Source organism: Homo sapiens, chromosome 2 (assembly GCF_000001405.40).
Source record: "Homo sapiens chromosome 2, GRCh38.p14 Primary Assembly".
Taxonomy (NCBI): domain Eukaryota; kingdom Metazoa; phylum Chordata; class Mammalia; order Primates; family Hominidae; genus Homo; species Homo sapiens.
In genome coordinates, this window is record NC_000002.12 from 184,978,261 (window position 1) to 184,996,553 (window position 18,293).

Genomic DNA, 18,293 nt, shown 5'->3' on the forward strand with positions numbered 1-18,293 from the left:
AGATGTTTTGTTCTACATCATTATGAAATCTCAATGGTAAATTTAACACAGCAAGAATAGGAATTCTCAGTCACATGTTCTTTAATATTCTTGGTAAGACATCCATCTGTGACTATTACTAAGATTATGCAGTAACAACTTTTGAGAGAGTCATTGGAAACCAGCGTTTATGGGGGATGATGAAGCGCCATGAGTATTGATGTAATCAGCATTGGCAGTAAGTGAGTCCTGGAAGGAACTGAAAAGGCAAGAATATCTGTATTATAGTTTTAATACAAACAGGTTCACAAGAGCCATGGCATGAATTAATGAGTAATAACTGCATTGATATTCTTTGGTCATGGTGGGAGATACACACATTTAGTGAGAAAGAACATGAATACATGGTTCTTATATTTGGATGGTAAACAATAATTCCTGTACTTTACAGATAATCTTCACATGCATTAATTGGACAATAAACAAATTCTTAAATACCTCTATTCTATCTATCCAAATCTATATCATTAAACTACTCTACATCACATGAATGCATGCATTTTATACTCCAGTTGGAAAATAATTGTTTATATAGATAGGACTCCTGCAAACTCTATTTGCCTAGGGTCCTCATAAACTAGGATTGATCCTGTATGGTTGTAGGAAAGACATCTATATTAAAAGTAAGGAAAACACTTTTCTACTTCACATCCTGTAGAAAAAAATGTATTCCAAATAGATTATACATTTTACATTTTTGGAAACACACAAGACTATCTTTATGAATCTGAGACATGAAAAAACTTTTAAAAAATATAATGTGGTGTTTGGACCACTTCCATGAGAATCTCCTATAGGCTTACACTATTTTGTACATTATTTTAAAAATATTTACTTCTCCATATGCACAATGATATTTGTGTTGAAACTATAATATAGACCTTCTTACCTCTACAGTTTCCTTTACCATTTATGTAATGTTATGCTGATTACACATTTATTCCAAAGGCTGTGTCATCCACCATGAGTACCAGTTTCCAATGACTTTCTCAAAAGTTGTTATTGTGCTTTCTTAATAATTATTACATATGCATGTCTTACTCATCCAAGTGAATCAAAGGTTGACAGATATTATCTTGAATATACACTATTTTTAAGGTAAATGTGATTGATATGGATGCCCCATCCATATCCTCTAGTTAATTACTACATACTGTTGTTATTTTGTATTGATTTTTGCAGGCCTTCCTGACTACCAACAGCCAGCACTTGTGACTCTTTGTAAAGAGTTTACTCTTATAGAAGAAAAATGCACCAACAATGTGAATGAAAAGCCAGAAATTCTAGGAAATAGAGGTCTTTCTCCATCAGCACAACTAATGAATGACATAAACTGGTGTATAATTCATTACTTCTCCAGGAGAATGATTCTGAGATGTATGGTCTGCTTTACCTCCCAAATATAACTTCCTTGATAATATGCTTTTTGCTAAATTTTTCCCTTCTTACCTTAATTCCTCACTTTCTTATCATTATTTTCCTGAATAAACTACTAGCACTTAGATTATTGTCTCAGGTTCTGGTTTTTGTGAAACCATAGTAAGACACACAGTACCATATGTGATCCTGGGAAGCAAAGCCTCAGGATTGGGTTCTAGAATTTGATCACTTTTGGGCCAGGTATTTTATTTTAAAAAGGGCCATTTTATTAAAGGTAAGGGGTGGTAATAAACTCTGGCATGATGATGTGAGAAATAGTGCAGATGAAAGATGACACATTGCTTTACTCAGAATCTCTAACATTGGAGGTCTGCAGGGAGAAATAAAGTTGTAAGGAGGATAGAGCTTTTTGTTAACTGTTATTGAGTTCTTGAAAAGAAAAAAACAGCAACTACTGACCAAATATGAACTCAGAGCTCAGAGTCAAGGTCATAGGCTCTATAGAAAGGAGACCCTCATCTCCTGCAGCTGCAGGGAAATCTGCACAGAAAAATGCCTAAAATCTGTTTATGAAAAAAAAAGAAAAAAATGCATTTTTGGACCAATACATCTTCTATAGCAAAGCAATGGTCTTGATAGGGAAGGAGAGGTATCTGAAATAGAGACACCTCAGTGATTGCAATTGAAAATCTTGAACACCTCAGTTTCCATGACCTCTCTGGGCTGTCATAAGTGGCTTTCTTTCTTGTGCTAGGGGATATCAAAGTACCTTTGATTGGAGACTTCAAAAAAGCAATATCTGAAGCAATGACTTGTCTTCCTCTAGATATGACTCCAACCCTGACCACTGTTACTTCTGGAGCAACGATTAGTGCCAAATCCACCACAGAATGACATGGACATGTTAACCAAGGCTTCAGATTCCTTAGGGATGAAGATCTAGGTTACACTATAAGACAAGAAACAGACATTAACACCTGACTTTAAGAGGAGAAATATCTAGAATATGTGGTGGCAAAGGAGGAAGATAGTAAATATCAGTTGCATCCCCAGGACCAAAACAGCAACATTTTCTATGGCTTATTCTACTAAATCTCCTAATGTAAATACATTTTTCAGAGAATTTCAACAGCAGTCACCTAAAAAAAAAACAATCAGATAGAAATAACTTAATATGGGCTATGAATGCATCTGTGTAGTTTGAGGATTCTATAAGTGCCCCACCTATGTTCACTTTAAACCTCATTTCCATGTACATCAGCTCAATTTCCAATTGCCAGCAACTGCATCTTTGTCAAACGGATTATCAGTCAGAGTTCAACTACAGAAACATATATATATGTATACGTGTGTGTGTGTGTGTGTATAATTAGCATTGGCTTAGCTCACACAATTCCAGGCTTTGGCCAAGCAACTCTGAAATGCACAGGGCAGGCAAATTCAGCAAGGGAGAACATGGCAGGCTGGAGCACATGAGTGGGGTCAAAGCTCTTGCACAAGGGCAGAATTTCTTCTCTTTCAGGGAAGCTTTAGGCTCACAGGTAAAGCCTTCCAACAGATTTAGTCAGGATCAGCCTGATTATCCAGGATAATCTTTACTTAAAGTCAACTAAGAGTCTGTTAAATTACATCTGCAAAATCCCTTAACAGCAGTACGTATATTCATATTTGACTAAACAACTGGGAACTGTAGTCTAGTTAAGTCAACACATTAAAAAAATGACACTGGAGTTTTTCTGATGCAAAGAGGTCAGTATATCTATGCATGGGGCCAGGCTGGCAAAGTCAGATGGATAACCAGTCTCTCTCAAACAGCACTCAGACAATAATCAATTAGCCTTCTATCCCCATAGGCAGAATAACTCTAAAGTCAATATTCTGTACTGACTCTCAGAGATCCTGAGTGGGATAAAGTTCCAGCTGCCTAGTGTGGTACTTGCTTGATAATTTACTGCCCCTGTCCTCCTTATATTTCCTATTATTCTACTGAGTTTTCCTGTGGTCATCTTCTAAATAAACAACTTTCCCTGGAAACTCTGCCTCCAGGTGTCCTCTAAGGGAAGATAAACTAAGACAAAAGTAATACATTACAATATTGCTTAAGCACCATCAAGAAAATATTAACGTGTTTATTTTAAAATTTTATATAATTATATTTAATTACTGGTATCATTCTTAAATGAAAAGGTAGTTCAGCTATATAGAAATATCAAAAAGACATTCTTAAAAAATTTTTAAGTCTGAATGGTGTAAATTTTGAAGGCAAACATAATCATGCTTTATTCTTTTTCTTTTCATAATTAAATTAGTGATGTGGGTATACACATGTTGAACATCATTGATTTTTCAAGCTGCTGTACCCTGAATACATATGAGGAAAAGAGAAGGTCTTGAAAGTTAAACAGGACTTTTTACTGCAAATGCCATGTTTACATATTTACATGGGCAATTCAATTATAAATTGTTGCCATTTATTTACATATTTTTTAACTATCTGAAATATTGAGTTAGAAATAGAGTAGAATGAGAAGACGAGCAAAGGGATTGGTAATTTGATTTTGCTAGTTTGTAGAAATTGGTTTAATTTTCTATTAATAAGCAAAATATCCCCTAAAATACTTGCAAATAACTGATATTATTTTTCCTCTTTCAACAAGCAATTGTAGTCTTTAATGTGGATTTCATTTCAACAGCTTAAGTGTTCTTTTACTAAAAGCATTTTTAAGTTGCTGAAGATCCTATTGCATTATAAATACATTTGTATTCCCTTCAACTTGAAATCTAGACTAACTTCTCCAAAAATTGCCCTCATCCTTAATCTACTGCTTTGGTAAAATGTAATTTACTGCTCTGTATAAACTGAGGATTATAGAAAAATTCAAGACATCTTCTTAACTGTACTCTCATTATTTTGTCTGCTAAAGTAAAACTAAACCAGTATGACTACAGGTGAGGATATTAAAATAGTCATGTTCAAGATTATTAAAGTATTTGCAGTAAAATGTGGCAATTTTCCTGCATTACCTTAGTAAATTATGGGTTGTTTAATGGGTTGTTTCAGAGTAGAAAATGAAACTTATTTCTTGGAGCAATTTAATTTGTTCAATAGATTAGTATGCTTCGTGATATCGTCTTTAGGAAAGAAAAATATATTACAAAGAGAAAAGGTACCATAAACCATTATTACAGAATTTTAAAGACTTTTAAAAAGCAACTCTACAGCCTTTGAACCCTATGCAAATGTTCATATAGCTATGTATTTTTTATTAGGACATCTGTTTTTTGAAAATAATAACATGTTTGAAAATAATTCAATAGAATACTGGGTCTGAGAATCTTAAGGACAAGTGTGAAATTGTTTTATCTTCATTTTCTGGGAGCTCTGGACAGCTGATAGAGACAATGTAGAGAGCATCTGCTCTAGGGGTAACTCATGGGATACTTGTCAAATTGATTGTGCTCAGAAACAATTGAGACACAAAAGAAAGAGAGCTTCTAATCACATTTCATTTACAATGTTGCTCAAACCTAGAAACTGCAATTTAGAATTAAATAGCTTGGGCATTGTAGAATTTTTAATTAACAGATTATTCCAGTAATTCATATATTTCTCACCAGGTGACTGAAATGAATTTCCACCCAGGTTTTGTTTCCATATGTCACAAAATTTCTGACAAAATAAGCAACACATTGATGTACTAATTTTGTGATTAATTTTATAAGCACACTGCCATACCAAGGACAGGAAAATAAAAATCATTCTACTAGATTATATTCTCCTTTTAAAACTTCATTGTCAATGATATTGGGTTTTTTTCTGTATGATTACACTATTTTTAGTTGCAAAAAATCATGGATGCTTTAAAAGGTAATTGATGGTTTCAGTGAAAAATACAAGTCATTTAGACAGTATAAAGTTATTGATAATGGAAAGAATATTGCATTTCTCCAAGTACATGTATATTTGTCAGGATATACCATTGTCTATACTTTCTTCCATTGATTCAAACTCTTTCTTGACATAAGTGTTTGAAAATAAAAGTCCATAAGCTATTAGAAGGAACCTAAAGAGTGCTAGAATGTTACAGATTCTTGTTTTTGTTATTATTAGCTATGATTAATATATTTCCCCATTCATCTTTATTCACACAGTTTAAGTTGTTACCATTGGCAATAAGAAAAAATGACAAAGAGACCCAGAATATGCCATTGTGGCATAAAAACTATTTTGAGCTGAAGACATTTGAGAATGAGCAGATGCAGAAAGAGATTTTCTCTGACCCCTGTCCCCTCCCTTAGAACATCTGTCTAAAAACAGAAACTATCAGAAAAAAATTTGAACTGCCACAATAGGGTGATTATGGTTCACAAAAATATATTTTAAAATAACTAGAAGAAGGGAATTGAAATGCTCCTACCACAATGAAATGGTAAGTGCTTGAGGTGACGGACACCCCAATTACCCTACTTTGATCATTACACATTGTATGCTTGTAACAGAACATCACTTGTATCCCATAAATAGATACAACAATTATGTACCCATAATAATCTAAAATAAGAGTATTAAATTCAACTGTCTTAAATTTTCCTTCAATGGAGGCTTCCTGTACTCGGGCTGAGGAAGTTCACACCCATCACTGAAGAAAACTGGCACTCTGATGAGAAGTAGTATAAATAAACATAGTCACAAGAGTCATACCTTCCATCTACTCTCCTAAAGACCCTAATATTTTTTCCTAAAATTATTTGTTGTTCTGTAACTTCTCCTTTCCCCTCTCCTTCCCCATTAAGATTTTATACAAATTAAATTCTAGTTACTTCTTTCAGTCACCATCTTTGCAAGCTCCTACAAACATATATGAGTAAACTTTGTTCTTTCTCCTGTTAGTCTGTCTTCTGTCAGTTTAATTCTCAGATTTCAATGACAAAACCTAAGGGAGTAGAAGAATGTTTTCCCTCCCCAGTGATGACATTGACAACAAAATAATTAATCCTATATAAAACTCCAGCTTCTGTTTCTTCATTTTCTCTCCACTTCATGTTCCTTCTATTCTCTCAATTAAATATGCTTACAGACTAAACTCTTTTATCTTTTTTCTTTACACTTTGCTTGCTCCCTCATCATCCTAAAATCTGTCATAGCAATAATATCAAGTATTATAAATTATGAATTTAGTGACATCTCATAAGAGCTTTCATTTCACACACATCAACTGCAGTGAAATGAAGTACTTTGCAGGACTGTGTTTCCATGGATTGCTGAAGCAACAACATCCAGTGGCCAAACATGAAAATGATGAGGATGTAGGAAAATGTCATTGAAGTTCACTTGTATTCTCCTTTGGCTTTATTGTCATCTTTCCACAAACTTGAATGACTTAAAATATTTTATGGACACTTGGATTTGCATTCATAGTTTTCGTGTACAAACCCAAGGTGATATGCTCAATTTTAGGACCAGAGCTGGAGCAAATGATTTCTAAAACATCATCAGATATTTCTGAATAAACACAATATTTTGAACAGTATTCTATGCTTCATTACTTTAGTATTGAGAATGTATTCTCTCTTAATATACCTCATCATTAACATAACAAGAGAATTATGTCATCATATTTCACCTAATCAATCTTTTAGATTTATGAAATTAATGTTTTCACCTATCACTATCTAATCTATACTTGCAATGCCTGTGCAGTATTAATTGCTACAGCATTGATGCTACAACCCAGGATATCATACAATACAATTAGCTCGGATTTTCTTTGCAAATTTATGCCTCACTTCTTCTGAATAAAGAAAATAGCATGCATTGACAGTGTGGTTATGGTTGTTGTACTTATTACTTAAAGGCATCCTCTTTATAATTACTTCATTTTTTGTGTGTCCAGGTATGACATCAACTAGTCAGGATACTTCTGTGTGTGTGTGGGGGGGTGCGGGGCGTGGGGGGAATACTATATTTGCTGTTGTAACATACTACACATTATTTTGCTAGCCTTTCTTTTTCAAAGTGAGACATATAAATATTGGAAACAACAGTTAAATTGGTTTTTCATAAAAGTTGATTAGCAGTGAATGAGTAAGGCAAGTCTCAAAAGAACTTAGGGAAATAATAGCATCATTGAAACATTTTCAGTTGGAGGAGTCAAAATATCATATAACTTGAGTCTTAAAGTGATCATTTAGAATGATTTTTAAATTTTTTTAATTGACACATAATTATACATATTTTGGGGATACAAGATGGTGTTGGGATACATGCATACATTGTGGAATGATCAAATCAGGTTAATTAGCATATCCCTCACCTAGAACACTTGTCATTTCTTTGCACTAAAAACATATAAAATTCTCTCTTCTAGCTACTTTGAAATATATAACACGTTATTTGTAACTATAGTGAACTTGTTATGCCATAGAACACCAAAACTTATTGCTCCTAGGCAACTGTAACTTTGTACCCATTGGCCAACCTCTCCCCATCTCCCATCCTACAGTTCCCAGCCTCTGGTAACCACTATTATACCTTCTACTTCTATGATATTAACTTTTTAAGATCTAGAATGAGTGAGATCTTGTGATCTTCATCCTTTTTTTCTTGAACATAATGTTCTTTGGGTTTGTCCATGTTGTTGCAAATAACAGAATTTAATTTGTTTTTTTATAAGTGGATAGTATTCCATCATGTATATATACAACTTCTTTTTATCCATTTAATAATTGATGGATAATCCATTTAATAATTGATGTGTAATTGATTCCATATCTTGGCTACTGTTAATAGTGTTGCAATAATCATAGAACTGCAGATATGTCCTCAACATACTGACTTCATTTCCTTTGGATATATACCCACTACTGGGATTGTTGGATCATACGGTAGTTCTATTTTTAATTTTTTGAGGTATCTCTCAACTGTTGTTCATAATGGCTGTACTAATTTACATTCCCAATAACAACATATGCATACCATTTTTCTCCATGTTCCTCCCAGTATTTCTTATTTTTTTGTCTTTTTTATAGTAGTTACAAATTTTGTTAGGCCACAAAACTAGTCTCAAACATTTTAAAAATAATCAAAATCATATAAGTATCTTTTCTGACCACAATGAAACAAAGCAGAAATCAAAAACAAGAGGGACTTTGGAAGCTATACAAATACATAAAAATTAAATGATGTGTTCCTGAATAACCAATGGGTAAATAAACTAAAATGTAAATAAAAATTTTATTGAGACAGGTGAAAATGGAAACACAACATGCCAAAACCTGTGGAATACAGCAAAAGTAGCTGAAAGAGGGAAGATTATGGCAATAAACACCAACATCAAAAAAGTAGAAAGTTCTCAGATAAACAAACCTAAACCCTATAAAGGCTATAGGTGATAAACCCACAGCTAACATCACACAAACTAGGGAAAAGTTGAAAGGTTTTCCACTAAAATCTGAAACAAACAAGGATGCCCAGTGCTATGATTTGAATATGTGTCTTCTTCAAAACTCATGTTGAAATTTAATTGTCAAAGTGGTGGCATTGAGAGGTGGGACCTTTACGAGATGATTGCATCATGAGGGCTCTGCCTTCATGAATGTAAAAATATGTTCATGAGTTAGTGGGTTAATGGGTTATCATCAGAGTGGGACTGTTGGCTTTACAAGAAGTGAAAGGAAGACCTGAGCAAGCAAGTTAGCATACTCAGCCCACCACCTTGGGATTCTGTAGAGAGTCCTCACCAGCAAGAAGGCTCTCACTAGATGTAACCCTTAAGCCTTGGACTTCTCAGGCTCCAGAACTGTAAGAAATAAATTTATTTTCTACAAAGAACCCAGCTTCAGGTATTCTTTTATATGTAAAAGAAAAGAGATAAATTAAGAACATTTTGGTACAGAGAAGTGGTGCGCTGTGGATGTGAAAGTATGATTTAGCTGACAGACAAAATTGACTCCCTATGGCTAACTGAGGTGCTTTATATGAAAACACAATCAGGCAGTTATACTGGGTGAGGGAATGACCATGTACTACATGTCCTCAAGAAGATGTTGTTGTAAATGTTGTAAAAGTGTGACAGGACTTCCCTTTCTATAATCAAGCCAAACCAGTTCTTGTTTTTCGTGGCTGGATAAACTGTGGCTAGAAACCCCCAATGCCAGCAGCTATTAAAAATAAATATCTGACACAGACTTTTGATTTTGGGCTTGTAAACCACCAAATCACAGCTCAACTATTTAGACCAATCAGAACTGAACAACCTTAACTCCTTCATTTACATAAATTGAACTGATTAAAACCTGGGTGAGAAGTTTCCTTATTTAAGCCAGACTCTCCCTTTGTTCTTTAGTGGATGTGCTTTCACTTGTAATGAAGTCTGTGCCTCCTCAATCTGCAGATTGTATTTTTTCTCTACAGACCTTAAGGTCTTTTGTTAACACAGATAATAAGTACCTGAAAATACGGAAGCAGCTTTGGAACTGAGTAATGGGTAGGGGCTTGAAGAATTTGGAGGAGTAAGCTAGAAAAAGCTTAGATTCTGGTGAGGGCTTAGAAAACAAGAAGATTAATGTAAACTAAAGATAAAATTCTAAGCTTCACCCTCGAAGGACTGAAAGGACCCTCTGTTGGCCAAAAGAACCACAGAACAACCTTAAAAATTGAATTTCTAGCCATGATAGGAAGGTACCCCAAACATGCCTCATTATACCCCCTCCCTTTTGGGTGCAACTGACCAGAATTTAGGTTAAAATAGAGATAAAAAACTGACAAAATAAACTCTTTGTGGCAATAAGATAAATTATAAATAAGACATAAGGCCATTCAAGGCAAGGTTAAGTCACATCCAACAAACAAGATCTCTTTACGTGACTTTTATAAGAAGTTAACTGGGTATAATGTGACCTACTTTCCAACCTGAATTTGGTATAGCATCACATGGCAGATAGCAGACCCCCCATCTTAACTCAAGCATTCCTTTTTACTGACTTCAAGTCTTCAGACAAAGCTTAACTCTTTCAACCAATTGCCAACTGAAAATTTATAAAACCCACCTATGACTTGTAAGTCACCACTATGAGATGTTCTGCCTTTTTAGGTCAAACCAATAAGTACCTTCCATGTATTGTTTTATTGTTTTACGCACAATTCCTGTCTCCCTAACATGTATAAAACCACACTATAACCTGACCATTGCAGGTGCACTTTCTCAGGACCTCTTGACACCATGTTCTCTGAGCCATGATTTCTCATATTGGCTCAGAATAAGCCTCTTTAAAATATTTTAGTTTGCTTTTGCTGTTAACACTAGGGAAATAAATATGGACAGTAAAGACCATTCTTACAGGGTTTCAGATGGAACTGAAGAACAAGGTATTGGAAATTGGAGTAAAGGCTACCCTTGTTACAAATTGGCAAAGAGCATGGCTGAACTGTGTCTGTGCACAAGGGCTTTGTGGAAGGCTGAGCTTGAGAGAGAGGAATGAATGTATCTGGAAGAAATTACTAAGAAGCAAAGTGCTCAGGCTGCTGTGTGGTTACTTCTAATTGCATGTGGCGAACTGCTAGAGCAAAAAAAATTAGAAAATTAGTGGTCTGGCCATGTTCTAGAAAATGAAAGAGCATTTTCAAGAGAGTAATCCAAAGGTGTAGCTGAGTCACCACTTGTCAAAAAGCTTAGCATGGCTAAAAGGGAGTCAGGTGTAATAGTCATGACAATAGAAAAATGGACCCAAAGGCATTTTCAGAAATCTTCTAGGCTGCCTTTCCCATAACAGGCCCAGAGGCCAAAGAGCATTCTGAGGACAGGTACAGGACACCGTTGCCCTGACCACATTGGGACACTGCTCCTCACATGCTGATAGCTCAGGATGAAGGCCCCTTGGCTCAAGTGAACTCAGCTTCCAAAGGTACAAGTCACAAACATTGACAACCTCCACGTAATGCTAATTCTGCAGGCTTGCAGGAAGCAAGACTGTGAAGGCTTGGCAGCCTCCACAGATTTCAAACAATATTGTCAAAAGCTTTGAGGCCTAGGAAGAGACTTGTGGGGGCAGAACCACTTCATAGAATACCAGCCAGAGCAATGCCAAGTGGAAAATTGCCATTTTCCTCTGCAGAGGAGTCACCACCAAAGCAATGCTTATTGAAGCTGTGGGAGCAGGAACGCCACTGAGACCTCAGAGGTGTAGAACTGCCAGTGTGCAATTTCAACCTGAAAGAGGTGGGCAGATTGAGCCCAGCCAAGCCTAGAGGCATGGCTGCCCCAAACCTTGGGGGCCCAACCCTCACACCAGTGAGTAGAGGATGCCAGGTGTGGAGTCAAAGGAGATTATTATGGAGTCTGAATATCCAATATTTGCTCTGTTGGGTTTCAGACTTGCTTGGGCTATGTTGTCCCTTACCTTTTAGCCTATTTCTTTCTTTTTGAATGGGAATATGTACCCTATTCTTGTGTATCACTATTGTATCTTGAGAGAAGATAAATTGTTTTGATTTCACAGGCCCACAGGTGAGACTTTTAGAAACTGGGCTTTGAACTTAGACTTGAAATTGGTGCTGGAATAAGCTAAGATTTTGAGGCTATGAAAATAGAATAAATGTATTTGTATGTGAAAAGGAAATGTTGTGGGGAGCAGGCTTAAAATGTTATGATTTGAATATTTGTTCCCTTCAAAACACATGTTGAAATTTACTCCCCAGTGTGGCAGTATTGAGAGGGGAGGCCTTTAAGAGATGATTGGCTCATGAGGATTCTGCCTTCATGAATGGATTAGTTCATTCATAAATTACTAGATTAATGGGTTATAATGGGAGAAGACTTATGGCTTTATAAGGAAAGAAAGAGAGACCTGGGCAAACAAGTTAGCATGCTTAACTCCCTCACCATGTGATACCCTGCATCACTTTGGGACTCTGTAGAAAGTCCCCACCAGCAAAAACGCTCTCACCAGATTGGCTCCTCCACCTTGGACTTCTCAGTTACCAGAACTATAAGAAATAAATTCATTTTCTTTATAAACTTCTCAGGTTCAGGTATTCTGTTATAGGCAACAGAAAACAAACTAAACGACTTTCACCATTTCTATTCAACATGGTACTGGAAGTTTAGTTAGTGCAATTAGGCAACAGAAGTAAACAAAGGGCATCCAAATTGGAAAGGAAGATGTCAAATTTTCCCTGTTAGCATATAACATAATCTTGTATATAAAAAATCCTACAGAATCTATCATAAAACTGTTAGAACACACTCATTGCCCAAAGCAATCTACAGATTTAATGCAATCCTTATCAAAATATCAATGACTTTTCTCATAGAAACAGAAAAACAAAATCCTAAAGTTCATATGCAACCACAAAAGATCCTGAATATCCAAAGCAATCTGGAGCAAAAAGAACAAAGCTGGAGGAATTATATTTCCTGATTTTGAAATATACTACAAAGCAATAATAACCAAAACAGCATGGTACTGTCATAAAGCAGACACATGTGAATAGAACTGAATTAGAACTTAGAAACAAATCCATGCATTTGCAGCCAACTGATTTTTGATAAAAGTGCCAAGAACACACATTGGATAAAGGACAGTCTCTTCAATAAACAGTGCTAGGAAAACTGGATATCCACAGGCAGAATAATAAAATGAAATCTTTATTTCTCACTACTTACAAAAATCAATGCAAAATGGATTGAAGACTTTAGCATTAGACTTGAAACTATGAAACTACTAGAATAAAACATAGGAAAAATACTTCATGATAGTGGTCTGTGGAATAATTTTTTGTATAACAGAAGCATGGGTAACCAAAGCAAAAATAGACAAATGAGATTTCATCAAACTAAAAAGTTTCTGTACAACAAAGGACATAATCCATAGAGTGAAGAGAAAACCTACAGAGTAGGAGAAAATACTTAAAAACTCTGCATCTAACAAGAGGTTAATATCCAGAATATAAAAGAAACACAAACAACTCAGTGACAACTCCCCCCCACCCCAAAGAATCCAATTAAAAAATGTGCAAAGATTTGAATAGACGGTTTTCAAATGAAGACATACAAATCGCAAATGGGTATACAAAACATGCTCAACATCACAAATCATCGGAAATAAGTTTTATTTTTCTTTTTGGAACTGACAGAATGAGCATGAAGGACAGTGAAATGATATGGAGTGTTCCATTTGCAGCATGTGCCTAAAATAAATAATTTTAGACAAATATGTACAGACTTCTAATTAAAATTGTCCTATAATGAGAGTTTTCAGAAAGCACCTGAATGATGACAGTTATTTTCCACTTTCCATGGATCTTTGCTAGTTATGTTATGGTTATGTTACTACCTAATAGGACCTGTATTCAGAAAGAACTATAATTTGAAAACAAACAGCGAAACGAACACAAAATTCTAATTTTAATGCATATATCCTTTAAAGTGCTAATAAATATAAAATAAAGAAAATTTTTCTCTGTAGGAAAATAAGAATAAAAATAAGATATATAAATAATCATTCTATTTTGCAGATCAGTTTACCAAAATTACTTGAGAAGTTCCCTTTAAAAAGTTGTCAATTCTAGGGTTGGGGAATGGCAGAAGGCAAAGATTCTCAAGCTTTAATGTGCATAATAAACATATATAGAACATGTTAAAATATAAATTGCTAATTTCATAGCCAGACTTTCTAATTTTTCAGATCTGAGTGGAGGGCCATGAATATGCATTTCTAATTAGTTCACATGAAATGCTGAGGTTGCTGGACTGGAGACAACAATTTGAGAACTACTGGTAGAGAGTGAAATGAGTTTTACACATTTCTGATTCTATCATAAATTCCACAGGCAAGGTTAACTTAGATTTATAGAAAACAATGATGAATGAGCCAAAATTATATCCATCTATTTATCTATCTACCTATACATATATGTATATATGTGAGTATATATTTTTCCTATATCCAGTTTGAAATAATGCAACCAAGAAACCTTTTACAATTCTTAATATCCTAAAGCATTTAAAGAGGTCTGAGTATAATTAGCTTTTTTATGAAATCTGTCCTACACACATACATGTATGCTAAAACTTCACAATGGTTATTAAAATATTCCTGAATGGCTTCACAATGGTCAGGTTGACATTAACATTAAATATATGAAGTGACATATTTTAGTAGAGTCTATAAATAAAGATATCTGAAAAAGGAAGGTGGTAGGATCTACTTGATTATGACTCCACCATTGCAATGATTATATTGATATCTATTTAATAAAGCTGATTATACATTCCAAAATGGTTATGTAGGAAAAGCATATTAATGTTTAATTGATTTTGACTATATGGCACTAAAAAGAAAACCAAACTAATTTACAGTTGGTTAAAGTTTTCCAAATATTTGAGTCACAGGAAACACTGTATTTTCTGTAACTTGTTAGTAATCAGTTAAATATATTAACTATGCCTTTTTGTAGCTGAATATTTGTAAATAAAACTAAAAACCAACCAACAAAAGTTCTTATATCATAAGCATGTGGTAATAATAATATAAGCTCCTTTTCAAGTTTTCTTATTATAATTTTAGAATCATTAAATGTGACTTCTGACTAGTTACCAAATATGGCTAAAAATATATTGTCAACATTCTGATAGATATATTGGATAACCGTATTTTCTCCTTAGAGCAATAGTATTTCCTGTTTACTTCAAAAAACAGCAATTCAATGTGGGGCCCCTTATAGTAATGATTTACCTGTTGATTCCAACTAATCAGAAAAAAGTAGGTGGTAGAAAGAAATTAATGTACATATATCATTAAAATACAATGTTTTCATAAAGTTAAAAATGTGGCTCTTGTTTTAAGTTTTTATTTTTTCTACATCATTTTACTTTATTTGTCATTTCAACTTATTTGCTTTTGTTATTTGGGTAGATGTCCCATTTTTAGAGAACCATCAGGTTGCACTCTTTTGTTTGATTTATTATGGTCTTGCCATTTGAAATTTTATGTAGTTTTAATACTTTTATGTATATTTATAATTTGTTTTGGCAACCAAATCATGTCGTAAATCACATCTTTCTTTTTCCCCCACTCTAAGGCATCCTTTTTTCCAGAATCTGAAGATACATTCTAGTTTAAAAGAATAGCTTCAGCCATTTAAATGGGTGTAAAGCCTGTTTCAAAAACGTTATTCTTGGTTCCATGTAAACTGCCAAAATGTAAATCCATTTTGTTTAACATGTTATCAACTTAACAGATGGCATTCATGTGTGGGCATCCAAAAGACCACATATGAGCATCAAGTATGTACATCTGAGAGTGAAACTTTGGGCCAAAATACTGAGGTTGTTATCTTTCTTGGATTTCTGCACTTCATTGCCAATGAATTTGTCAAATCAGGAGCAGTAAAGAGGGGAACAAAGTTCTTCACAGTAAGCAGCGTAATATGGAAAATCCATAACTGATATCACATTCTTCACCAACATGTGTATTTTTTAAAAATCTTTTTTTAAAAAATATCTTAGTATAAAGACCTGTTTAGAGGTGGAATTTGTTCATAAAAGTCAAATGATTTTATTGAGAAGAAAATTGAATGTCTCCTACGTGGCACATAAGAGTTGTAAGACAGTTTTCAAATAATATATTAAAATGTCGGTTTTTGTTGCCTGTATATGACATTTTTAAAATATGAGTTTTATTTATAAAAACACAGCAGAAAGATCATAACTTAAGTATATACTTTAATGAAAATATATTTGACTTTAATAGATATTTTTAATATGGCTTGAAAGTAGAACTTTTTCACTTCTATTTTTTATAAATGAGGAAATTTGAGACTCAAAATGCTAAGAAAATGTTTCCAACCCTTTTGTGAAATAGGGAAAGTTTTAGGCTATTACACCTGGTTTAGGATTCCTAAAGTAATATATTTTCCACTATTATTTGAATGACTAAAACTTACTGGACCTCTACTTTGGAGGTTGCTGAGTACAGGCAGGCTGTAAACAATTCATTTTTATACAGACGACTAATACATGACACAAGAGGCACACTGTATCAATAGATAAAGACTGATGGCCATAGATTCAGAATGTCTTGGGTCATATCCCAGCTCTGTCATATAGTAGCTTTGTAACTTTACACAATTTAATTTGTTTCTATGTGCTTCCATTTCCTTATCTGTTCAAAAGAATTTTAGAAGCAATTGCTTCATAAAGTTATGAAAGCATTAAATAATCATATGTATTAGAATTATATACTGTACTGCCCAGAAAAAATAAACATTCAATCTATATTATCCATCATTATCATTTGCCATTGAGCTAACATGAAACCATTATTTCCAGTTCACAGAACAGGAAACTGAGGTTTGGAGTTTAAATGATTCATCCAGTGGCACACACACAGAACTATTAATTGCTGGAGCATAATTTTAACTATAAAATATCTGACTGCAGAGATTATTCTCTATCTGCCCCTTCAACTACAAGATTGGACTTCCCTGCAATCCACCTCAGTCTATTTGTATGGAGCCAGAGAAGCCAGTTAAGTACCAACTCACAAGTGATTCAAAGTGAATTTGCCTGGGTCTTGTCCCAGACTGTGATAGATGCAGAGGTTCAAGGTCAGAAGCCGCAAAAACGGGGATAAATATTTCTCAAATCATGCTGCTTTTGTTGCCTGTCACATTAAATCCATTCAGTTGTCTGCTCAAGGCCTAGATTAAGTAGTATACAATGAAGTTGACAATTTGGTATGCCTAAAATAGAAGATTCCATGCAAAAGACATGTGAGGATTAATAACCTTCTACTATTTTATAACCACAAAACTAGGATAATAAGGATTGTCAAAGATTATTTTTTCTAAATAGAAATTTTTATAATTGTATACAAAATTATAACAAAGTATTAAATTATAATGATTTCTGGCCAAATAAATATATAACTATATCTTACATAATACATACTAAATCATGTAAAAACTAAAAGAAATGCTCTAGTAAAGAGATTTCTGTAGAGATAAATGTATTGACTAATATAATTGCATAATCTAGAAAATTTTTATTGCAACCTTATGTGTAGTGGGAATCATCTGGAGGTACCTATCTACCAAGAAGAAAATGAATGCAGAATTTCATTATAATTTTCTGTAATAGTAAAATTAAATGTATCAATGTGCATGCAATACAAACAGAATATTAAGCCAAGAAAATTAATAATTTGACACTGCTCAATTAAAGTTATAAAATAAAAAATATTTTTATGAATATAGAAATAACGAATATAATGATATTATTGGGAATAATATATAACAAACTTCAAAGCAGTGGTTATGTTTGGGGGAAGTTAGTGAAATATAATGAGGGTAAAATACATTGTGAAGTAAACCTTATTCTTGATATTGTGTTCTGTAATATAAACTGATATAAAACAAATATGGCAAAATGTTAATATTAATACATCTAAATGTTTCATACATGTATATTTTTTGTCTTATATTCTGTAGCTTTGTTATAGGTTTGTGATACTACTAACAAAATATTAAAAATATTGCTTATAACCCAAGTGATACATAACTACACTTGGATATTTCAATAAATATGTTGGATATTATTTGGTTTCAGTGATTTCTTCTAAACTTGCTCTGATAAACTTTTCTTGTACACTTTCCCTGATTTTCTTCCTCTGAAAAAGGTAAAATGAATTTTGCATGAATCTTTTGAAGAACTGTATTTTTTTCAGAAGTCAGAATTCCTTTTAGCTTGAATTCCCCAGATGATTTCCCCCGCACTTGATTTTGTGTTTCCTGTGTACTAGTCATTTTTATAGCACCAGTATTCATTACGTTGATCCCTGACCATGTTATAGCACAGTTTTTTTTAAAGCAGGTT